The sequence below is a fragment of the Homo sapiens genome, chromosome 8 (genome assembly GCF_000001405.40).
Source record: "Homo sapiens chromosome 8, GRCh38.p14 Primary Assembly".
Taxonomy (NCBI): domain Eukaryota; kingdom Metazoa; phylum Chordata; class Mammalia; order Primates; family Hominidae; genus Homo; species Homo sapiens.
Window position 1 is genome coordinate 122,919,655 of NC_000008.11, and position 24,989 is coordinate 122,944,643.

The 24,989-nt window shown below is 46.9% G+C and overlaps 1 protein-coding gene across 26 annotated transcripts in view, besides 3 other annotated features; it reads left to right on the forward strand.

The window, feature by feature from the left end:
* Positions 1 to 24,989, forward strand: part of ZHX2 (zinc fingers and homeoboxes 2) — a 194,132-nt gene that overhangs the window by 139,276 nt on the left and 29,867 nt on the right. The window contains exon 3 of one of the 26 annotated variants that reach the window (NM_001412811.1): positions 11,551 to 11,774. The exons of the other annotated variants lie outside the window; for them this stretch is intronic. The gene's annotated coding sequence lies outside the window, so the exon portion shown is untranslated. The remainder of the gene's footprint in view (positions 1 to 11,550; positions 11,775 to 24,989) is intronic. 26 annotated transcript variants of the gene reach the window in all.
* Positions 1,094 to 1,193: an enhancer, noted in NCBI's record as "active region_27861". NCBI's record gives its function as "activates an Ori minimal core promoter by ATAC-STARR-seq in GM12878 lymphoblastoid cells {active_cell/tissue: GM12878}" and the evidence as "EXISTENCE:reporter gene assay evidence [ECO:0000049][PMID:35858748]".
* Positions 1,394 to 1,463: an enhancer, noted in NCBI's record as "active region_27862". NCBI's record gives its function as "activates an Ori minimal core promoter by ATAC-STARR-seq in GM12878 lymphoblastoid cells {active_cell/tissue: GM12878}" and the evidence as "EXISTENCE:reporter gene assay evidence [ECO:0000049][PMID:35858748]".
* Positions 1,574 to 1,673: an enhancer, noted in NCBI's record as "active region_27863". NCBI's record gives its function as "activates an Ori minimal core promoter by ATAC-STARR-seq in GM12878 lymphoblastoid cells {active_cell/tissue: GM12878}" and the evidence as "EXISTENCE:reporter gene assay evidence [ECO:0000049][PMID:35858748]".

Sequence of the window (24,989 nt, forward strand, 5' to 3'; positions counted from 1 at the left end):
TCTCATTGAATCATGACAACCGTCAGAGGTGAATGGTAGCATCCCGTTTTGCAGATGAAGATACAGGGCCCAAAAGTATGTGGCCTGCCCGAGGTCACACAGCTTCTGAGAAATGGAGCTTCACTTCAAAACTGTGCCACCATGCTTGCTCTCTGAAAACAAAATAAAACCACTTTTCTGATTCTAAAGAGAATAATCCAGGTTACCGTAGAAATTGTTGAAAATATATCACGCAGAAAATAAAAATCATGGGTAATTCCTACACCCATAGATAGCTGACATTAACAGTATCTGCATATTCTTACAATTTGCATGTTTTTACAGAAATTTGAATTGAGGCTGGGCGCAGTGGCTCACACCTGTAATCCCAGCACTTTGGGAGGCTGAGGCAGGCGGGTCATCTGAGGTCAGGAGTTCAAGACCAGCATGGTCAACATGGCAAAACTCCGTCTCTACTAAAACTACAAAAATTAGCCAGGTGTGGTAGTACATGCCTATAATTCCAGCTACTTGAGAGACTGAGGCAGGAGAATCGCTTGAACCTGGGAGGCGGAGGTTGCAGTGAGCCGAGATCGTGCCGTTGCACTCCAGCCTGAGCAACAAGAGTGAAACTCTGTCTCAAAAACAAACAAAAAAAAAATTCAAATTGAATCCTGTTGTATATACTTGTGTGTAGCTGCATTTTTCTGCTTTTTTTTTTCTTTTGATACCTTTGGTACCAACTGCCTTTTTAAATTAAGATATAATTTACATACAATGAAATTACACTTTTAGTGTACAATTCTATGAGTTTTGACACACCCATGCTGTTGAATAACCACTACCAACATCAAGATATAGAACTGTTCTATCACCCCAAAAACTCAACGCCCACCTTCAGACCCTGGAAAGCAATGGATTTGTCTGTATGATTTGCCTTCTCTGGATGACACATAAATGGACTCATGCGGTGTGGTGTAGCTTCAGTTTTCACTTAGCATTGGAGGCATGTGTCCACATGAGGTTATATACTCTTCAGAAGCATTGTTTTTTAATGACTACCTGCCACCCGGCAGGCCACGTGCCCTCCAGTTCACAGCCGCAGCCTCTCAGAGAATAGAAATGAGAGGTAGAGAGCTGCATTGGGAAGCACAAGGGCAGGATCGATGTGATGAGCACAAGTCACCCACGAGAGGAGGTGCTGGCTCTTCTGCTTTCAGGCCGAAGGGGCTGAGCTCCATATGGGCGGGCTGGACAGTACCACACCACAATGCACAGCACCTACGTTTGCGTCCTGCTTTGTGCTTTTAGATCCCTTGCTCGTATGTGGCACCTTCTGGATTCTCGGTTTCAGATTGAGTTTCCTCAAGCAAGTGGAGATAAGAATGTTCATCTTATAGGGCCATTGTGAGGATGGAAGGACATGTTTTTTTTTGGTTTTGTTTTTGTTTTTGTTTTTTTGAGATGGAGGAGTCTCACTCTGTCGCCCAGGCTGGAGTGCGTTGGCGTGATCTCTGCTCACTCTGCAACCTCTGCCTCCCAGGTTCAAGTGATTCTCCTGCCTCAGCCTCCTGAGTAGATGAGATTACAGGCACCCACAACCACACCTGGCTAATTTTTTTGTATTTTTAGTAGAGATGGGGTTTCACCATGTTGGCCAGGCTGTTCTTGAACTCCTGACCTCAGGTGACCCACCCACCTCGGCCTCCCAAAGTGCTAGGATTACAGGCATGACCTACCGTGCCCGGCTTGAAGGAGATGATTTGTGCCCAAGTGCTGACCACAGGGATGAGCACTCCGGCTGTTTTCTCTTCTTTCCCATCCCCACCACCGCTGCTGCCCCTCCCCTGGGGGTTTGGATCCGCAGATCTTAAGTGCTCTCGCCACAAAAAAGAAGCGTGGGCGTGGTGATTCACGCCTGTAATCCCAACACTTTGGGAGGCCAAGGTGGGAGGATTGCTGGAGCCCAGGATTTTGAGACCAGGCTGAGCAACACAGGGAGACCCCATCAAGAAAGAGAGAGAGAGAGAGAGAAAGTGAGGAAGGGAGGGAGGGAGGGAGGAAGGAAGGAGAAAATGGCAACTATGTGAGGTGATAGATATATCAACTCAATTGTGGTGAGTGCTTCACAATGTATACCTATATCAAAACAAGTTGTACACCTAAAATATATACAATTTTTCTTGTGAAGTATACCTCAGTAAAGCTCAGGGGCAAAAAAAAGAGATGAGTCGATGTTAACCCAAACTGTTAAAAACAGATGTCACCTAGTTGAAGCTGCTTCCCTATGTCATCAAAAGGATTAAAAGAGAATTGAAGAAAAAGAGCACTTCAGGAAGAACAAATGATAGGCTGGAAACAAATACACAGGGGCCTCTAGAAGCTGTGCCTCTTGATGAAGAAGGAATCCCTCGAGGACAGGAGAGGAGCTGGGATGACACTTGTAGCTCTTTGTGCTAAAATGACTCAGGCAGCTCCTGCATTCATTTTGGGTGCTGAAGTTTTAGAACTGTTTTCCCCACCCCCACCAACACCTTCTTATCCCTCCTCCTGGGTCTTTCTTAGACTTCTCCCAGCAAAGCAGAGTCCGTATCCTAGTGTGTTGCTATGGAAAGAATGGCAACATCACTTGTGAGTTCATGAAAAAAAAAAAAAGAAAAGGAAAAAAAGAAAAAAATAGGACAAGCGGGATTTTTTTTAAGTGTTATGAAACTGGAAGAAAAACTGTTCCACCACTAAATATATCCACTTACAAAATCAGCAGATGTTAGGGAAGGGCTCGGACAGAGTCAGTCCCTCTGCCCTGCAGAAAACTCATAGCAGAGCATTTTCATAGCCATTGCTCCTGTGAGACTCTGAGAAACTGTTAGGTCTCAGGGCTGGTGGCTGGAACCTTCAATGTTTGCCAAATGGATCATGTGGCAGCCATGACCTGGGGGACCTTTGAATAACTAGGCTCCACTTTGTTTTAGGACCTTCCTCCTGTTCCTTCTCCTCCATTTCCTGTGTCAGATCACCCCAACTTTGACCTTTTTGGGTCCCTTCAAGAAGCACAGCTTTAGAGCCTGGGTTTGAATCCCAGCTTTGCCTTGCATTGGCTATGGTACTTGGGTGTATTGCTCAACATCTCTGAGCTTCCAGTTTCCATATGCATGAAACACTTACTGTCAAGGGGTTGTAAAGTTTAACAGTAACACATGAACCACCTAGCAGAGTGGCCAGCATAGAGCTGTTAGTAATATTGTGTAATAGAGATTCTTTTCCCTTCTAGTCACATTTTCCATCTGCCCGGTGGGCTGCTGGGGACTGCAAAGGGGGCAGTTCAGCCTCTGTCTTCCAGCTGACAGAGCCAACCAGGTGGCCCTATCAGGTGTGGACTCCACCTCAACCTGAGACCTTCCTCAGCATCCTTCATGTCTTCCTAAAATTACTTGTCAGTGTCAAAGTCTAGATAGAGGGAATCTTCTCACATTCCTGGTTGATATCTTGGGTCGGCCTCTGTTCTGGTGAACTATTGCTGCACAGCAAACCACAGCAAAACCAGGAGTTGCAGACAGAAGTTTACGATTATTATATCTCACAGTTCTGTGAGTGAGAAGTTTAGACAGACTGTAGCAGTTATGGCTTGTCTGTACTCCAGGAGGCCTGGGGGCCTCAAGTGAGATGGGCCTAGAGCAGCTGGAGACTGGCTGAGCGTCTGTCTCCCTGCTTGGGTAGGCTGAGCTTCCTCACAGCATGGTGGCCTCAAAGTAGTCAAACTTCTGACTCCTCCAAGAGGAAAGAAGTGGAAACTGCATGTCCTCTTAAACTGTCGTAGGTTCTTAAATATGTCCAGAACTGTCATAGATTCACTTCCACCATATTATACTGGTCAAAGCAGTCACAGGTCAGCACAGATTCAAGGGAGGTAGGGATGGGAACATGGACCCCATCTCTCAATGAAAAAAGTGTCACACAATTTGCAACCACCTTTAATCTGCCACAGTGTCTGCCACAAAGTCACCACACCCACCTGCCTGCTGGTCCTGGAAGGAAAATCTGAGAAGCCGATGGTGGAGACTGAGAGCAGAACTAAGAGGCAGGACCAACATCACTCATCACAGGCAAAGGCAGAGCTCAGATAGTGTACATTTCAGGGTAGCTGGCTTTTTAAAGAGTTGTATGCAAACCAGAATTCTGGAATGGCTCCCAATTATAAATGCTCCATGGGTATGCTCTCTGACAGATTCCTGTCGATAACCACCACCCCTCAGCTTCTCAAGTGTAAATTCCAAGCATTTATACATCAAATTTGCTAAAATATAAGGCATTTCCATCCCAAGTCATTGTGCTCTGTCCTGATGAAAGATGGGTCCACATTGTCAAAATTGGCAGAATCAGTTAGGTGGGCCTTCCCCAGCAGGTTGTCCAGGCCGTGATTACCTGGAAAGAAAGATTCCTGCTTTGCGTGGTGTATCAGTTTCCTAGGACTGCTGTAACAAAGCACCACAAACTGGGTAGCTTGGGAGAGATTCATTGTCTTCTAGTTCTGGAGGCTAGAACTCCAACGCTGAGGTCAACAGGGCCGTGCTCCCTCTGAAGCCTCTAGGGGAAGATCTGTTCCAGACCCATCTCCTAGCTGCTGGGCACCTCAGGCTTCCTTGGCTTGCATACGGCCATCTTCTCTCAGTGGCTCTTCACATCATCTTCCCTCAGTGCCTGTCTGCCTCTGCACCCGAGTTTCCCCTTTTCATAAAGACACTAGTCATATTGTATTTGGGCTCATGCCAGTGACCTCATGTTAACTTGATTACCTCTGTAAAGACCCTATTTCCAAATAGACTCAAAATCTAAGGTACTAGGGGTTAAGACTTTGACATATCTTTTTAGGGGGACAAAATTCAATCCATTAAAGGTGGTGAGCAGAGATGGACTGGGGCCAAAGCCTGGCCTCGCACAATCTCACTTCCAGTCTCTCTTGATCTCCACAGGTCATAACCCAGGCCTGGGTCAGAGCAAGGGGTCTTCTAGAATAGAAGATCCAGAGGGCAATAGTCTCAGTGCCCAGAACAATGCTAGTGTATATTAGGCCCTCAGTACATACTTTACTGAATGAATGATTGAATGAACCGATTGGCCCATCGGTGAATATCTGGTGACCAGACAGAGAAAAAATGGTCCACCATACCCCATGTATTGTAGCTTCTGATCTTTAAGTGGCCAGGTATTTGAGGGTATCTGAGTCGCGGTCTCAGTTGTGTTGAGGTTTGCAGTTATTGCTGTAGTTACTTCTGCTGCTAATAATATGGGAGAATTCACAGGTCTCTCCTCCTCCTTTGAAGTTGAGTCAGTGACATCTTGCTATTAAGAAAAATACAGGAGCGACTACATACCTTACTCTGCTGTCAGCTGTTAGAAGAACTCCTAGAGAGGAAAAGGGGGACCCCACTGAAAAGCTTACTAGTTGGCTATACAAAAGCAGTCCCAGCATCAGCCTGACTTCTCAGCATTTGAGATTTGTATCTTCACCCCAAGATAACTTTGGAGTAAGTTAAACTGATTTGGATGGAACTTGTTACACAGTTGTGGCATGAATTACTAGTTGATTGTTCCCCTTGAAATCAAACAATTGCCAAGTGAGGTTCTTAGTAGTGTCTTGTGCAAATTGCACTAGACGTCAAGAGATAGGCAGCGTAGAGGAGGACGTGATGGTGTGTGATTGATCTTCCGTAACTGCTAACTGAGCACCTGCTGAGCAGGCCCCAGTTCTTAGTGCTATGGAAAACACAGTGATGAACAGCACCAGGTTCTTGCCCAAAATGAGCTCTTGACCCACTAGGGGCGAGAAATACCCACACAGGTAACTCTAATAGATGTTACAGAGTAACAAGTTCAAACCGTGTTCTCTTTGAGTAGAGGAGGGAGTAAACAATCTGACAGAGGGAATCCAGACACACTCTTGTAGGAGGAGGGATATAAGCAAGGCTTTGAAGATACGCAAGAGGTTGGCCTTTGATAGGAAGATTTTGGAGAGAGGGCTGGTTCAGGCAGAGAGAACAGCTCGAGCAAAGCCTAGAGGTGGAGGAGGGCAGAGCAGGTTCCGAAATAGCTGACACACACTGGGTGAATCAGAAGCCCAGGCTCTCTAAGCAGGGCTTTGAAGACGACATGGAGGAACTTGGACAATATTTCAGGAATGCTAGGGAGCCAGGGAACGGTTAAGAGAAGGGAGTGGTGTGTTTCAGCAGATCACAGGGACAGAGTGGAAGGGTGATTGGGAGGCCATTGTGACTGCAAGTGGAGAAGAGGACATGGGACAGAGTGGGGGGGCACACACAGAAATGGACTTTCTGGTGACGGCTTAAGTGAGATGACAGCCCAGATTTACAAACCCACCTAACAGAGGAACTGAATGGGAATAACCTCTCCTATTAGTGTCCTTCACAGAAGCCACACGCATGCGCCCCAGCTCAGATCTCCTGGGAAGTGGCCAGCCTGAAACCAGTGCTGCTTAAGCTGGGCTGCTCCCTGGAACTGTCCAATAGCTTTAAAAATATATATAAATGCCTGGGCCCTACCTACAGAGAAACTGTCTTAATTGGTATGGGGTGAGGCCTGAGCACTGGGGTATTTAAAAGCTCCTCTGTTGATGCCGGTGCGGAACAAGGGTTGAGGGCCCTGCCTGGAGAAATGTCTTCCCGTGTAAAGGCAGGCTGTCTGGCTGCTGTCAGTTTGCCATTAATTTGTGTGGTTCCTTAATTAAAGGCTATGTCCTGCACTAGGTAGTAAACTCTCTGAGTATAGGGATTGTAATACTTTCCTGTGACTGCTGTAACTGAGCCTTTAAAAGGCCATTTCACCGTTCTGTCAAGCCAGCCGCTTCAGGACGATGGGGAACGTGGGAAGACCAGATAGTTCCACGGCCCATCGCTGTGCTGTAGTTGCAGTTGTTCGCTGTCAGGTGGCGAGTGCAGATATGAACCATCTGGAAGCCAGGACCCAGTGTGTTTTCTTCCTCGTTCGGCTGGTCCTAGGGAACTCCTTACGAGGCATAGGCATCAGCAGGGGCCACACTCACTTGGAAGCTCTGGGTGAACATCTGTTTCCTTGCCTTTCCAGCATCTAGGGCTACATTCCCTGCATTCCTTGGCTCACAGCACCTTCCTCTATCTTCAGTGCTAGTGTGTAGCATCTTCTCTCTGACTCCGCTTCCCCCTGCTGCTGTCACGTGGCCTTCTGCTCTTCTGTCTGGAATCTCCCTCTGCCTCTCTCTTAGAATGACACTGAGGATGGCGTTTAGGGCCCACCCAGATCATCCAGAATGATCTCCCCACCTCAAGATCCTTAACTTCATCACATCTGCAGTATAAGATAACATCTTTTTTTGGCATATAAGATAGCATTCACAGGTTCCAGGGGTTAGGACCTGGGTATCTTTTGGAGGACCACAATGCTGCCCATCACAGGGATTATGTGTTTTCTTTGTAGCCTCACAAGCTAGTACAGCACCTGGGACTGGGTAAGCCAGTGACATAGCGAATGAATCAATAAATAGTGTTGTATTAGTCTGTTCTCATGCTGCTAATAAAGATATACCCCAGGCCAGGCACAGTGACTCATGCCTGTAATCCCAGCCCTTTGGGAGGTTGATGCAGGCAGATCACTTGAGGTCAGGCATTCGAGACCAGCCTGGCCAACATGGTGAAACGCCGTCTCTACTAAAAATACAAAAATTAGCCAGGCATGGTGGCATATGCCTATAATCCCAGATACTTGGGAGGCCGAGGCAGGAGAATCACTTGAACCCGGGAGGCAGAGGTTGCAGTGAGCTAAGATCGTGCCACTGCACTCCAGCCTGGGCAACAGAGTGAGATTCCATCTTAAAAAAAAAATACCCAAAACTGGGTAATTTATAAAGGAAAGAGGTTTAGTTGACTCACAGTTCCACATGGCTGGGGAGACCTCACAATCATGGCGAAAGAGCAAGGGACATCTTACATGGCGGCAGGCAAGAAAGCTTGTGCAGGGGAACTCCCCTTTATAAAACCATCAGATCTCATGAGACTCATTCACTATCACAAGAATAGAACAGGAAAGACCCACCCCTGTGATTCAGTTACCTCCCGCTGGGTCCCTCCCATGACACAATGTGGGAATTATGGGAGCTACAATTCAAGATGAGATTTGGGTGGGGACAGAGCCAAACCATATTGGCAGATCAAGATCCCATTGCGTTAGAAATCAAACTCACAGGAATCCAGAAAGAGTACTGGAGGCAAGCTTGGGAACACCAGGCACAGGGGGATTTAACTTGGTGGCTTCTGAAATACACATCAAGTTGCACCACTCTCCATTGCCCTCAGGATAAACACTACTGAGGTCCTGCTTCCCCTCTCCTCTCCCCGCTTTCGTAAAGTCCCATACTACCCCTAAAATTGGCCCTAGGACGCTTGCACTATCAGTACTTCTGTTTTCTTTTTCTCCACTAGACTTAAGCTCCAAGAGGACAGCCCTAAGCCAGGCTCCATCTCCTCCATCTCATTTATCTCCCCCACTCCCACCAGGACAGAAGGTGGCACTTAGTGGCTGCTCAAATATCTGTTAAATGAATAGAGGAACTACTAATGAGTGGATAAGAACCCGACAACCTTGCTTTTGAGAATATTGGCTTATCGGGGAAACTGGATTGTTTTGTTCACTACTGTGTCCCCAGTGCCTACACCAGGGGTCTGTCTGGCAAATCATCAGAAAATATTTGGCAAGGAGAAGTAGGGGACATTCAAAGATCCTGTGGCTTAGGGGGCAGAATGTTCAGGGAGAAGAGTGTGTGAGGTTTGGGGGGTACCTTGGAATTATGTCTTGGGAGATGAGTTGGGATAGAATTCAATGAAAATGGGGAACCAGCATGGATTATTACTGAAAGAAGAGATGGGTAAGATCAGAGATTTAGGGGAGATTTGCCTGGCGGCAGGCACAGGGCAAATTGGGATAAAGAGACTTGGGAAGGAAGGAAAGTCATTCGATTCCCGTAATATAGGCAAGCTGTCAGGATGGCTGGGACTAGTGTGGAGCCATCTGGAATGTTACGAACAAATGACAACAGAGCATGGATTCAGATTATAGGAGAGAAACCAACTCATGAGCTAAGGCCTCACACCCTGGGCCAACGGGGGTATCCAAGATGACTCTTGTGTTTGCCAACCTGAGTGACAGAGCTTGGTGCCCCCTCAGGTGTGGGAAAGGAAATGAGGAAGCCAGGTGATCATCTTGACTTGGGACAAGGTGAGTTTTCCATAAAGATAGGACATCCTATTATTTTTACTGTGGTTGTTACAATTACTATCATTATTATCTTATTGGTTAACATTATTGAATATTTCCTATATACCAAGTTGTGTTGTGCACTTTTCTTCAATCAATATTATTTGATTCCACAGCAATCTTGTGTTAGTTTCTATTATTTCCATGATACAGATGAGAAAACTGAGATTTTCTTTTACTTCTGAAATGCACTTTCCCTCAAACAAGCTAGTTGTTATAACGTTTTTCTAACACCACCCGTGTAACACCAGGCGCACTTACTTTTTCATTTCTTTCCCTGTTTGCCTGCTTTGATCAGCCAGAGCTCCTTGATCAGACTTGCTCATTCCATCAGCCAAGAAGTAACCCCACTTCTCATTTGTGTGTAGGGTTTTGCTTCTTCATATCTTTATATTTTGGCCAAGCTTCCTTACCCAGGGTCATTACATCTTGGAACATTAGGACTGACAGTTGGATCCCAGCACTTTGGGAGGCCAAGGCGGGCAGATCACTTGAGGTCAGGAGTTCGAGACCTGGCTGACCAACATGGTAAAACCCTGTGTCTACTAAACATACAAAAATTAGCCAAGCATGGTGGTGCACACCTGTAATGCCAGCTACTCGAGAGGCTGAGGCATGAGAAAAGCTTGACTCCAGGAAGCAGAGGTTGCAGTGAGCCAAGATTGTGCAACTGTGCTCCAGCCTGGGTGACAGCGAGACCATGTCTTAAAAAAAAAAAAAAAAGACAGTTGTTGGGAATTCCCCTGGAAAAGGCTAAAGCAAATCTCAAAGACATGGTTTTCGTGTCTGAAAAACTCCACTGAGCATTATTTTGTTTCTTGTTCTTATATACCCGTAGCTCACACTCAGTCTCAAAATCTATGGAGTACACAGGTTACCAGTATAAATCCAACTCTATGGCGCTATGGGAAGCTATGGCTGCTACATAGCTTTTGAAATTGACTAATGTGTTCTTGCACCTAATGGGGAGCCACAGGGGCCAAAGAAGGATCTAGTTTTGGTCCCCATCTTAATTCAGCAGGCCGGCTCCATGCTGTAGCTCTTGTTTGTACAACAGGAAGGTAACAGTCTTCCCGTTACCTGCTTCTAAAACCCAGAAGGTAACAGCACAGAGCGGGTGTAATGAAGGCTCTGAGACAGATCACTGAAGAAACCTCTCTTCAGCCTCAGCAGCCTCAGGGGAAAATAGAGGTCCTAGCATTTCCTGCTCTGCCTCCTCAGGGCTAAGAAGCTCCTGCAAGAGGATGCATGTAGAAATGTTTTGTGGGCTGCAATGCACACTCAAGACCCAAGGGATACTTATTACCATCAGCAGCATCACCGCGGTCATTACTGGTGCAGAGGTGATGGAAAGGACTATTGGCAAAAAGGAACAAGCAGCCTGGTGACTTTCTACAAAAAAGCAACACTTTACAGAATTGCTTAGAAATGTGAAAGAGGGATTGCGGAAGAATGGACAGCCCCCACAGGTTCTTTCTGAAGTGTAAATTAAAAATCATGCCTTTTTAGAACCCTTCCACATGGGACAGACTTGGTAAGAATTTTGCCTCCGTGGTGAAGGTGATCCTACAAAGGACCTTCTCTTCCCACCTTTTGGTGCATCCCACACGTGTCCTGAGAGAATTTTTTTTTTTTTTTGAGACGGAGTCTTGCTCTGTCACCCAAATAGATGGGGTTACAGGCACCAGCCACCACGCCTGGCTAATTTTTGTTTTTTTTTTTTTTTTATTTTTTTCAGTAGAGATGGGGTTTCACCATGTTGGCCAGGTTGGCCTCGAACTCCTGACCTCAGGTGATCTGACTGCCTCGGTCTCCCAAAGTGCTGGGAATACAGGTGTGAGCCACTGTGTTCAGCCTGAGAGACCATCTAAAAGATGGAGGACGGGGGTGCTGGGAATATTGTCAGACCCATGGGAAGTAGGGGGACCGGCTGGCACACTGGCACCCAGCAGTTGTTGGTCCATCCACCAAGATGTCACACCAGGAAGGTCAACCAGAACCATCCCTTTTTCGGCCCAAAGCTGGTCCTGGTGTTATCATGGGAGGCCTCCCTGGCCTGAGGGCTGTTCCAGGTCCAGATAGGGCACGTCTTCCACTAGGCTGTCAAAGGTCACCTGCCAATAACCCCCCAGCCTATGTACCTTTGCATGGGCCTTGATACCTCTCTGATCCTTATAAAATGAGTGGAGCTGAACACCATCAGGTCCAGACTTGCAGCCATAATTTCCCTGGCCTTCACCCTGCCTGACTGAAGCTGTTTTGTTGTGTTAGGACACAGTCGTGCATGAGGCTCCACGCCTGGCGCCTCCAGGAGCCACGAGTATTATGCAGGGCTCGTACACTGCTGCCTGCGTGAGAAGGGCCAGAGTTTGTGCGGTAGGCCTCATGTTTCTCCCTATTAGCCTTGGGCCTGCAGAAGAACCTGCCACAAGACATTCATCTCTTATAAGACTGAAGACAGGACGGAAAGAAGAGAGAGAGAGAGGAGAGAGCAGGTAGATAATGTTGCACGCCTTATGTCATCTGATCCTCAATACAGCCCTAGGAAATAAAAAGAAAAATATTTATTAGTTCAGCTTAAAGACAGATTTAGCTCCAGCAGCTTCAAAGTAAGATCTTTCACCTCCCAAAGCAGAGGTTCTATACAGGGGTGTGTAGCCGAGGATGTAAGTCACATATGTACCCAGTCATTACGCGCTGCAGCATCAGAGTCTTCAGGAGGTTCTCACCCCAGCTGCCCATCAAGATCACCTAGGGAACTTCAAAACCTACCAATACCTGGCCCTACCCCAAGATTCTGATGTAACTGGTCTAGGATGTGGCCTGAGCACCAGGATATTTAAGCAGACATGATTTCTGATTTTAAAATATCTTTCTGGAGCATTAATGAATGGGAGAAGGAAATGAGTGGGGGCCCAAGAGAAACCAGGCAGGAGGCCTAGATGAGAGATGATGGTGCCTTGGATCGGGGTGGTCATAGTGGAAAATGAGAGCGCTAGATGAACCGTAGACCTGATTTGGAGGTGGCACAGACAGTACGAGCTGGTGCGTGACTCTCTAAAGACTAGCATTTTCAAATGTGGAGCAGAGGCAGTCATCATCCTAACTGTGGCAATTTTGTGGAAACTGAAGACAACAGCAGATCTTGGCCTTGTGAATCTTATGGGTCAGGGCTGAGAGTTCTAGCTCACTGCCCATTCCCAAGAAAGAGCAGCTCAGCTTCTCCAGGGCTGCTGGAGGAGCTTCCTAAGAGGTGGAGTGGAGTGAGATGAATGGCACAGGCTGCAAACCAAGCTCAGCTTGCCCACTGTATTAGTTTCCAATGGCTGCTGTTAGAAATTACCACAAACTTAGTGGCCTAAAGCACCACAAGTTTATTCTCTTTAATTTCTGGAGGTCAGATGTCAAAAATCAGATGCACTGAGCTAAAGTCAAGGTATTGGCGGGCCGGCTCCTTCTGGAGGCTTCAGGGAGAATCTGTTTCCTTGCCTTCTCCGGCCTCTGGTGTCCACCTGTGTTCCTTCTCCATCTTCAAAGCACATCACACCAATGTCTGCTTCCATAATCACATTGCCTTCTCCTTCGTAGTCAAAACTCCTGCCTCCAGAATCGCTTGAACCCAGGAGGCGAAGGTTGCAGTGAGCTGAGATCGCGCCATTGTACTCCAGCCTGTGTGACAAGAGTGAAACTCCATCTCAAAAAGAAACCTCCTGTCTCCCTCTCATAAGGATACTTGTGGTTACATTTAGGTCCCACTTGGGGAATCCAGGATAATCTCTCCATCTCAAGATCCTTAATCACACTGTCAAATTCCCTTTTCACGTCATCCAAATCCCTTTGCCGTACAAAGTAAGATTCCCAGATTCCAGGAATTAGGACCTGGATATCTTTGAGGACCATTTTTCAGCCTACCACACCCTGGGTCCTGTGTAAAGAGATGCCGAAACACAGCCTCTCGGTGTGGTTTGAATCTGAGTGGTTTTTGTCTGGGATTTAACTGGCTTCAGTGAATGGCTTTGTGGAGGACATTCTATCAGAGAATAAGAGTAAACCTTCACCATTTATCCAAGGCTTTGAGATAAAGGGAAGTCTCTTCGAGGTAGAGATGAAAGGCGTTCAAGGGAAAGCTGCAAAGGGTGGCCTGGAGGCGGGGATGGAGGGTAGAATGGAGAAAGATCTGACAGACAGAATCTAAGAACTGCTGAAAAGCCCTGTCTCGCCCTGATCTGTGCCTGGGGAGCAGAGAAATCTCATTCCTCTCCCAGCTCCAGGAAGATGGAGTGTGCACGAATCACCCACAAGGAAGGAAATGAAAAGGTTACACCAAGAATTGTCGATATTATAAATCCCTGTAGTCTCGCAGCCTCTCTAAATGTTTTGATAGCAGAATTTGATGGATTGTAAATCAGAGCAGGCTTATCTTAAACATTTGATAGTGCCTTATTTATTTATGTATGTGACACATAAAACCATGATTGTTTCTTCTTTCTGTCTTAGCAAGATTTTTTTTTCTGCTTTCAGAAACACATCACTCTTCTCTAAGCCCTGGTTTTCCGTGTTTGTGGGCGTGTAGGTGTGTGTGCTTGTACATGGTGGCAGCTGTTACGATTCTTTCCACACGGAGAAAGAATACTTTGCCTGGGAGAAGATTATAACATCAGGAATTAACAGAAAAAATAAGAAAGCCGCTATGCTTCAAAATATGTCTTAATCTTATTGCTTTAAAAAAAAATAAAACAAGATTATTGCTCAGAGAAAGAGGGAGATTAAAGGTGTTACAATGTGATCGGTTTATGATTTGAAACTTAGGTAGATACACATACAAAGACAATTTCCTGACTTTCCTGGCTCAGGGTGTAGAGTCATGAGTTACCTCAATCTCCTCAAATGGATCAAATTAGCCTCATTATCATACTCTTTCTTACACACTAATTTCAGCTTTACAATACATCTAGGTCTGGGCACAATGGCCCACGTCTGTAATCCCAGCACTTTGGGAAGCCAAGGTGGGAGGATCACTTGAGCTCAGGAGTTCAAGACGAGCCTGAGCAACATAGTGAGACTTTGTCTACATTAATTAATTAATCATCTATTGGGGCTGCCCTCAAGTCATCATAAACATTGCTACCATTTATTGCACGTTTGCAGGTACCTGGCATTATGATGGAGTCTTCACAAGCATTGTACCATTTAATCCTCACACCCCTATGAGGTGGTCATTAGCTCCAGATAAATTTATTTATTATAAATAAACCAAATCTAGAAGCCATGTATCTTGCCAACCTCCTACAACTGGAAGTGTCGGATACAGCTGCAATTCAAACCGTTCTGTACTGATTCTAAAGCTAATGGACTTACCCACTCAACTGACTTCTCAAGAATCAGTTCAGTTCAAAATATCCTGACCTTGACATTGAGAACAGACAGCCACCACCTCTGGAAGACACTTCACTCACCTGCCCAGGCAGGCCACAAACGCCTTGTAACAGTGGTGAAGCTCCTCTCACCATAATTATATTCTGTTCCTCCCCAAATCTTGTGGTTGACCTTGACTAATGAATAGCGCAGGTTACCTCTAAAAGTCTTCCCACTCCAGTGCCCTATGGACCTTCTTGATTCTGGCTTTTCTCCATTAGCTTCTCCCTTCATGGCATTTGGGTGCAAAGTTCCTTCCTTCCTTCCTTCCTTCTTTCCTTCCTTCCTTCCTTCCTTCCTTCTTTATTACCTTCCTTCCTTCCTGCCTTCCTTCCCTCCTTCGTTTCTTTCTTTCTTTCTGATGAAGTTTCGCTTTTGTTGCCCAGGCTGGGTGCAATGGCACAATCTTAGCTCACTGCAACCTCTGCCTCCCGTGTTCAAGCAATTCTCCTGTCTCAGCCTCCCAAGTACCTGGGATTGCAGGCATGCACCACCATGCCTGGCTAATTTTGTATTTTTAGTAGAGATGAGGTTTCAGCACATTGGCCAGGCTAGTCTTGAACTCCTGACCTCAGGTAATCCACCCTCCTTGGCCTCCCAAAGTTCTGGGATTACAGGCGTGAGCCACCGGCCCAGCCTCAAAGTTCTTTTTATAAGCTGTCAAGACAGTGCATCATTTTGACTACTTCAAAAAGCCGTGTGCTATATAGTTTTTTTTATCCACTTTATAAAAACTATTATTTGGGATTAAAATTTCTTCTAATATTTGATCTGGACTCACAGATGACTTTTTTTCCTCTCTCTGTGTCTTTTTTTTTTATCTATTTGAAGCTCTTATCTCATATTTATCTATTCCTGAATTGTCTTAAGTAAGAGAAAGAAAAACTTATTTCCATTATAAAACCACTGAGGAGCTTTGTTTTCATGCTGAAAAGGGAAAAGTACATTTCAGTGGAGCTTTTTAAGACCTTTCAAAAAAGTATCTTTGGGGAGAATATGAATTTTTAATAATAACTGAATAATTTGAAAATTATTTGCAATGAACATAAAATTGTCACGGGTCGTCAGTGAGCCTCCCCGTTTTCACTGACACTCATGAGTGTGTCAAGGCTGTTCCTCACATGTAGATCTCAGCTGAGATACCCTCTCCTCAGACAGGCTTTCCCTGATTATACCATTGAGAGTAACTTTTTTTTTTTTTTTTTGAGACGGAGTCTCACTCTGTCACCCAGGCTGGAGTGCAGTGGTGCAATCTCGGCTCACTGCAAGCTCCGCCTCCCAAGTTCATGCCATTCTCCTGCCTCAGCCTCCCAAGTAGCTGGGACTCCAGGCACCCACCACCATGCCCAGCTAATTATTTGTATTTTTAGTAGAGACGGGGTTTCACCATGTTAGCCAGGATTGTCTCGATCTCCTGACCTCGTGATCCGCCCACCTCAGCCTCCCAAAGTGCTGGGATTACAGGTGTGAGCCACCACGCCCGGCCGAGAGTCACTCTTTAGTCACCATCACATCATTTTGAAAACCTCTCTGCATAGCACTTACCACTCTAAGTTCTTTGTTTTCTGGTTACTTTCTGTCTCCCCTCCTAGATGGTAGACTCCTTGAAGGCAAGAATCTTATACCTTATTCCCTGAGTATCTAAGGCAGTGTCTGGCACATAGCAGGCATTCAAGAATGAATGAATGAATGGACAAATGAACGAGTGAATGCCTGAGCTATGTTTATATTTCTATGTCCGAAAAGAAAAAAACAACGATAGATCTGCTGTAGATCCCTTTTAAAACACCAGGAATGTTTGAAGAAGGGAACAGAGTGGTAAGATGCAGATTGCTGGCGATGAGTGCCTCTCACAGTTCACTCCCAGTTTTTGCAGGGAGGTGTTGAAGACAGGGATGACGTGATCAGATTCGTGTTTAGAAACATGATGTTCAGCCATGGCATCAGTTGCGAGGTATGGGGCAGCAAGCAATCTGCGGCTAAAAATAAAGCCTTGAAGTTTGTGAGTGGCTTACTTTTCTTGATTGGCAAGGTTATTCCTGTTAAAATGCAATCCCACTCATGTCCTGAGATTCTTAAGGAAGAGGGAATGGTGTGGGGTTAGAACCAACCCAAGAATGACAGGTAACCCTGAGAGAATGTTACAAATAGGCATCCCAGCAACCATGCTGTCGTGGCAGGAAAAGGCTGAGAACTGCTGTTTTAGAAAGGAATGGTGGCAGCGAGGAGGCTGGCCTGAAACTCTGTCTGTCGGGATGTTTTCAGTTACAAGTGACAGAAAACCCCATCAAACTGGTTTAAACAAATTGACACTGTGGAAAAATCTGTGAGTCTGTTGGACTGGGACACAGTGGAATTCAGTGGGACATCATCAGGACTGGTTCTCTGCATCTCTCAACTCAGCCTTCAGCTCAGCGCCCAGGCATGCTCTCCTCCGTCGTGGCGAGATAGCCACTGGTGCCTCTTGGCTTCTATCCAGTGCCCTCAGCAACTCCACCAGAAAGGAGCACATTCGTTCTCCCAAGGGTTCCAATAAAAGCCCCAGAATGGAATCCCACTAATTCTGACTGCTGTACTTGGATCAGGCTGTTCCTTAATCACTCACTGTTCCTGGAGACAGTGATGTTCTCACTGGGCAGGACCAAGTCACATGTGCAGTGCCAGAGGTTCCACCTGGGCCAGGCATGGGTAGGGGTCTTTCTCTAGAAAAACTGGATGGCCATTGCCAGAAGAGGAGGAAAAGGGCACTAGGTAGGCAATGCCTGCATCCAACCGGGGAGGCCCAGGGCTCAGGCCAGGTGCAGCACTCACTGCAGTTGTGGAGGAAAGCCCCGAGGAGGACCTGGGGCAGAGCAATGAAGAATTAGGAGACCTCATGGAAGCAGAGTCAGGAAGGCCTGGGGCATAGCAGACTCCAGGATGGGGAAGAAGTGGAAGAACCAGTGCTATCCCGGTTTCCAGCCTGAATGACTGAGTCGATGCTGGTGCATTTGTTTGGAATAAGGAACATTACAGAAAGATCAGGTTTGGCAAGCAGGTGAACTTGATTCTAGATATGTTAAATCTGAGGTCTATGTGAGAACCCCCACTCCTTCCCCCAGTGGTGATCATAGATGCACACGGCATGCACTTGGAAGAGACTCCAAAAATCATCCAGCTCAGCTGCTGCCAAGTTCTCCTGGTGGGGATAAGTGAGTAGACCTTGTTCTCCAAGTGAAATTGGATCGTCTATTATCTTTTTTTTTTTTTTAGACTCAGTCTCACTCTGTCACCCAGGCTGGAGTGCTGTGGCGCTGTCTCGGCTTACTGCAACCTCTGCCTCCCGGGCTCAAGCAATTCTCCCGCCTCAGCCTCCTGAGTAGCTGGGATTACGGTGCCCACTACCACACCTGGCTAATTTTTGTAATTTTAGTAGAGACAGCGTTTCACCATGTTGGCTAGGCCAGTCTCGAGCTCCTCCTGAACTCAAGCAATCCACCCGCCTCAGCCTCCCAAAGTGCTGGGATTACAGGCATGAGCCACCGCGCCCAGCCGGATCATCTATTTTTTTTATTCATGTATTATGTTTCCTGGTTTTCTTTTTGGTTTTTTTTTTTTTTTTTTTTTGAGACGGAGTCTGGCTCTGTCACCAGGCTGGAGTGCAGTGGCGAGATCCCGGCTCACTGCAACCTCCGCCTCCCGGGTTCAAGAGATTCTTCTGCCTCAGCCTCCCAAGTAGCTGGGACTACAGGTGTGTGCCACCATGTCCAGCTAATTTTTCATTTTTAGTAGAGACAGGGTTTCATCATGTTGGCCTGGCTGGTCTCGATCTCCTGACCTCGTGATCCGCCCACCTCGGCCTCCCAAAGTGCCGGGATTACAGGCATGAGCCACCATGCCCAGTTTATGTTTCCTGGTTTTCATGAATTATTCTGACTTTGTTAAGCTTTCAGTGGAGAGTGGCCACTCCAGCCTTTGTCCAGTTATGAATCCATCTAGTCCCTCCTGTCTTCTTGCCAGCCACCTGCAGCTGGGAAGGAAAGTCTGGGGCTCTGGAGTGGAAGGGCCAGGGCTAGGAATGTTGGTTTGGTAGATATCTGCAAGGACGAGCTCAGATCTTTGGGATGGATGAGTTCACCAAGAAGGATGGAGAGGAGACGGATGAGAAGAGCCAAGGGCATGGCGAGGCACCTACTGAGAACAGAAAAACAGAAGAGGAAGCTGAGGGGCCGGGCACAGTGGCTCACACCTGTAATCCCAGCACTTTGGGAGGCTGAGGCAGGCAGATTGCCTGAGTTTGAGAATTTAACACCAGCCTGGGCAACATGGTGAAACACTGTCTCTACTAAAATACAAAAAAAGTAGCTAGGCATGGGGGGATGTACCTGTTGTCCAAGCTACTCGGGAGGCTGAGGCATGAAAATTGCTTGAGCCGAGGAGGCCAAGGCTACAGTGAGCTGAAATCACACCACTGCACTCCAGCCTGGGCAACAGAGCAAGACTCTGTCAAAAAAAAAGAAAAAGAAGGAGAAGAAGAAGAATCGAGATCAAGAAGCAGCAGCCAGTAGAGGTGTTTTGAGGATGGCACTGCAGAGTCAGTGATGGGGGATATATTTGGCAGTTTAAGATAAAATTGTCAACAGAGCTGGGAGGGCAGAATCCACAGAGGTGAGGGGTGAAGCATGCAGTAAGAGAAGCGGTGAGCAGGTGTAATCATAAACTTCCTTTGAGAATTTTGATGGTAAAATCATTTTAACAACAGGTACCCTCTGTTGTGAGCTCCAAGCTCATCAAGGATCAGGCACAGAACCAAATATACTCAAATTAGCTCACTGGATACTCTCAGCTGCCCTTTGATGTGGCTACCATTTTCATCCCCATGTTACAAATGGAAAGGCTGAGGCTTCAAAGGATTGGTGGAACATGTCCAGGGTCTCTCACCCGTGGCGTGGAACCAGACCTCGAAGGCACGTCTCCCACTCAGGAGCCTGACTGAGCTCTTCACCTCTGCCATAGGATGAAGGATCTGATATAATGATGTGTAGATGGTGGTGGAATCGAGCCGTCATGAGAGATTTAGCCTTGCTTTTCATGTTTGCTTTGCTTTGCTTTGTTTGCCTTTTTATGGAAACAGCAACCTGAGGTGTTTGTAACCCAAAGGGAAGGGGACCCAGTGGAGGGAGACAGGAGTTGACAGAACCCATGAGTGCTGAGCTGGAGGCCTGGTGGAGGGATTAGCCTTTTAACAGGGAGACCAACTACCTCCTCCTAACCAACTGGAAAGCAAAGAGATGCTTGGAGATGGAAAAGGTGAGCTGCATCTCAGCAAGATACAGGGCAAAATCTACTAAAACAGAGAGGCGAAGTTGGGAAATTCATATTGGAACAGTTACACAGGAAATTTAAGAGGTAGGAACAAAAGATGAGTAAGAAAAAAATCTCAGAGCGGCATGACCAGGTGAGATGAGCTAGCAGAAGTACGCAGCACCTGATACAGTGCCTGGCCACTGAAAGGCGCTGTAGAGGAAAACGGGGTCTGATGGGGAGGAGGGGTGGAGCAGTCCTTCTGAACATCAGTTTGCCAATCCCCTCACCACTCACGCTAGCTTACTAATCAAAGTTATCCTGTGATTAGTCCCAGAACACATCAGTGTCAAAGGTCCTCATTCGGGCCAGTTCTGCAGGTGAAGGTTCACCCTATTTTACAGCTGCAGGAACTGAGGTTAGCCATGGTGAATTAACATGCAGCATTTGGTATTCTCTGGCTTGCATGTGGGTTTGGGGGTTGTGAGATGGGCACTAAGGCTGTGGCCAGAGAAAAGTGGACTCCTAGTAAGTAATGAAGCCAGGATTCAAACTGGGGGTGCTGGCTTCAGCCTGTGCCCCACTTCTACTGACCTGGTGAGCACTAATGCTGAGCACTGATGGAGAACAAGGCCCCTGGAGGCCAAGGCTTTACCTATTGAAGGGTAGGAAGGGTCTGAGCTTTGGAATTCATTGGTTTGGAGTAAATGAGTAAATTCGGGGCTCCCGGTTCACATGGGTCCAGACCCGGTCTACCTTCTCAGGCATCAGTGGCTTCCTCTGCCCCTGAGTTCTGACTGCCCTGTCTGAAGCCACCACCCCATCCCACCTCTGGCAGGACACCCAGCCTCCTCTCAGGGCCCCGTGTCACCCAAATGTGTGGTGATGCTCACACAGCAGGCGGCGTGAAGCAGCCACAGACCTCACTTCAAACTTCCATGGGCCACTCATGAAGCTTTTTTGGTTAGAAAGGATCATGTCAGCTTTCTTCCTAACAAGAGCTTCTCAGAGCAGCATGTTGAAAAAGACATCACAATTCAATTAAAATCTTCCTCCTTTGAACACTCCCAGAGGGGCAAGGCCACTTGGAATTTGTGAGAAATCTAATTTATAGACACAGTATCAGGAAATAGAATTGTTAACAATGAACAACTGTGTGTCATAGGGATCAAGCAGCAGGCATGGAGCCAGGATTATCTAGGTTCTACCCTCTTCAGCAAGCCATCGAACCTCTCTGAGCCTCAGTTTCCTCATCTGTAAAATGGAGATCACAGCCATCAGTTGGTGTTCTGGGAATAATAGAGATTGTGCATGTAAACCAGGTATGGTGGCTCCCACCTTTAATCCCAGCACCTTGGGAGGCTGAGGCAGGGGGATCACTTGAGCTCAGGAGTTCAAAACCAGGCTGGGTAATATAATGAGACCCCTATCTCTATTAAAAAAAAAAAAAAAAAAGATTGTTTTAAGAAGCTGGGCATGGTGGCATGTGCCTGTAGTCCCAGCTACTCAGGAGGCTGAGGTGGGAGGATCACTTGAACCCAGGAGTTGAGGTTGCAGTGAGCTATGATCATGCCACTCCACTCCAACCTGAGTGACAGAGTGAGAACCTGTCTCTAAATAGAATACAATTGTAAAAGATTGTGCATGTAAACAACATTTTAGTACTATCAGGTTTCCTTGGTCAACAAACCCCTTCTTTTCTTTTTAAAAATGTGTCCGTTTGAGCAACTAAGCAATACAAAAGGTTAAATCACAAACACAGATAACAGGAAATTGCTTCTTACGTCTCAACTTTCCCAAATCACCAACTCTGTTTCTGTGGATCGTGTTTATAAAGATGTTTTATGCTATGTTATCAAGCAGCCAGCATTCTGTTTTCCTTTCTTTTCCAGGATTATAATTTTGTACAGTTCTTCCCCCGTTTCTACCTCGTCCTCCAAATTGTCTGTCATTCCCTTTGGGAGTATTAATACAGTTATTCTACTCTTCGGCATGGCAGGGAGCTTTGGCTGTTTGTAGTTTTAGTTGCAGCAAAAAAAAAAAAAAAATGTAGCTGTGAACATCTCTGTGTCTTCATGGGACAGTGTGTTTCAGCCCAACCAGTTCTGAATTAGAAGAAGCCAAGTGATGTCTTGATTCCAAAGGTAGCAAACAAGGCTGTGCCGCAGTTGCGTGACTTCTGATTAAAAATATACATTCCCAGGCTCTGCACCTGGAGGCTTGGGTGTAGTAACTCTGGACTGAGGTTCATGAATTGGTATTTTTACAAAGCACTCCAGGTGACGTGTGATGGTTTGGGAGCCACATTATAAGCCCAACTCCAAAATTCAAATTTGGATTAAGATAAAATGGAGAAAAATCAGAAAACTCAGGAATTAACTCTCAGTCACCAGTGACCTTTCAAAGGCAATTCTGTTTAACAGAAGAGAAAAATGGAGGCAAGGATGGAAACAGATGAGAAGAGAGCTGGGTTGCTGGAGCTCAGAGTAAAGCCCAGGCCTTCTGCTTTGCAGCATCTAATTCCTCCTGCCCTGCCCCCACCCGTCACCATTGCCACAACATATCTACCCAGGAGAATGCCTTCTCGGGGGGTGTCATGTTGTGATTTTAAAACACAAAGGAGCAATTCCTGCTCCCACCCCCTCAAAAAAGATCTACCCTTGATGAACTGAGGCAGAATCTGTTAACAGCCCTGTCAGAAGACCCCACAAAGCTAAAAGCATCCTTTTTGGTTTTGATGTCTTGTCAAGATGCTTCCTTTGAAAGCTCCCAGACAGCCCTGTTATTTCTCCTGACAGCCCTAGTGAAAAGCTCTGCGATGAGACGTGGCATCCCTGTCAAAGCCCGGAGGTGTGATTCCCTGAGAGCGAGCAGCTCTTGAGCATTCCCTGGGCTCAGAGCACTGCTGCCCTCTGGGTAGACCCCTGGGATCCCGGCTCTGCAGCTCCCTCTGGCCTCTGAACCCCCGAGGGCTTGAGATCCTCCACTGCAGGAGGCCTCTGCAGTCTGACTCCTCACCTCCCCCAGATGCATCCCTAGAGAGGTCAAGAGCGGAGCCATGTACCATCCTGACAGCCAGACTGTGAGCCAGCCACCTTGAGAAGTTTCCAGGGGCTGCTCTGGCAGTTTGATCCATTTTTTCCTTCTCCCAGGGGCTGCAGGCCACTTGTAGGGAAAGGTCAGGAAATGCCACCACCTGTCTCTGGAACTGACGGTGGTAAGGAAAAAGAACAAAGGATGCAGAGGAGAGTGCTTCTTGGGGAGCCTTACAGAGCCCTGTACCTTAAAGCTTGCTGCACCTGCGTAGTAGCATCCTCACCTGGGAGCCTGTTAGGAATGCACAGTCATGGCCAGGCACGGTGGCTCATGCCTGTAATCCCAGCATTTTGGGAGGCTGAGGTGGGTGGATCACCTGAGGTCAGGAGTTCGAGACCAGCCTGGCCAACATGGCGAAACCCCATCTTTACTAAAAGTACAAAAATTAGCCAGGCGTGGTGGCACATGCTTATAATCCCAGCTACTCAGGAGGCTGAGGCAGGAGAATCGTTTGAGCCCGGAGTGTGGAGGTTGCGGTGAGCCAAGATCGCACCACTGCACTCCAGCCTGGGCAAAAGAGGGAAACTCCATCTCAAAAAAAAAATAAAAATAAAAAATAAAATGCACAGTCATAGGCCCTACGCCAGACACACTGAATCAGCATCTGTATTTTAACACAATCCCTAGGTCTACACGTAAAGTTCGTATCCCAGTTTTACTGCTCCAGGCTGTGTGACCTTGACCAAGCTCCTTAACCTCTCTGAGCCTTAGTGTCCACGTAGGGTTTCTGAGAAGTGAAACTTAGCACTTGGCATACACTAAGGCTTTGGTGAATGTTGGCTGTCATTATTGTTGGGGAATTGATTAAGGGAGAATCAGCTGTCACATTCAAACCCCAATTGTTCAGCCATTCCATGGTAGGGAAGAGAGGCCAAACCCAACGGGCGAAAGTTCCAGATGAAAAGTGAAGAGCTCCCAGCATCTACTTAAAGGAGAAACTTGGAGGTGGGTGGGAAGGATATCTCTCAGCAGCCTGGGCCTTGACTGTTTAATTTGGGGTTAGCTGAGATTATTGTTTAGCTGTCTGGTTTGAGGGTTTGTTCTTCATTGATGTGCCTCTTTTCCCGCCAGCCCCACCCCACACCTTGAATCCAAGACCCCTCTGTTTCCAGGACCCTGCCCAAAAGGCTTTGACCCTCCCTTGCCTGCAGACCAAAATCCCAACTCCCTGGCGTGGCATTCCAGGCTCTTCGCCATCTAGCCCCAACCTAAGTTGTTCAGCCTCCTCTCTACCTCTGCCCTCACACCCCTGCCCCTTACCCCCAGTCCTTGTCATTCCTCAAATGTTTTCTTGCCTTCTGACTTGCTCATGCTGTCTGCTCTGCCTGGGAAGACTAGGTTCCTTTGATAGGAGTCACTCTCACTTTCCTCTACCTCCCAGAATTCTACTCCCCCTTTGAAGCCCTGCTTATCCAGGAGAGACTGTGTGGTGGTGTGCCAAGAACACAGGGTTTGGACAGACTGGTCAAATCCCAGCTCTGCCATGAACTAGCTGTGTGACCTTAGGTGAGACATTTACCCTCTCTGGTCTTGGTTCTTTCATCTGCAGATTGAGGGTAGTCACAGCTGCTTTGCAGAGTTGTTGTGAAGACTCACCAAGAAAGCATGGAGAATTTGCATTAATAGTAGCTATTACCATTTTATTTCTAAGAAGAGGAAAGTTGCCTCCCCTGGAAAGCCTTTATCTACCCTCCCCCAACCCTGCCCTACAAAATTAAGTATAGCCTCCTCTCTGTTTCGTAAACTCTTTCTCCTTCTTGTATTTGCAACATCCACACGTTCCACTGTCACCTTCTCAAAAAGGAAGTCGCTGACCACACTGCTTAAAACCTCAAGTGGCCCCGCTCTACACTTTTAATGTGTTCCCTGCCTTACTCTCCTCCATGGTGAGCTCTCCACGAGCCGCAATTTCTGTC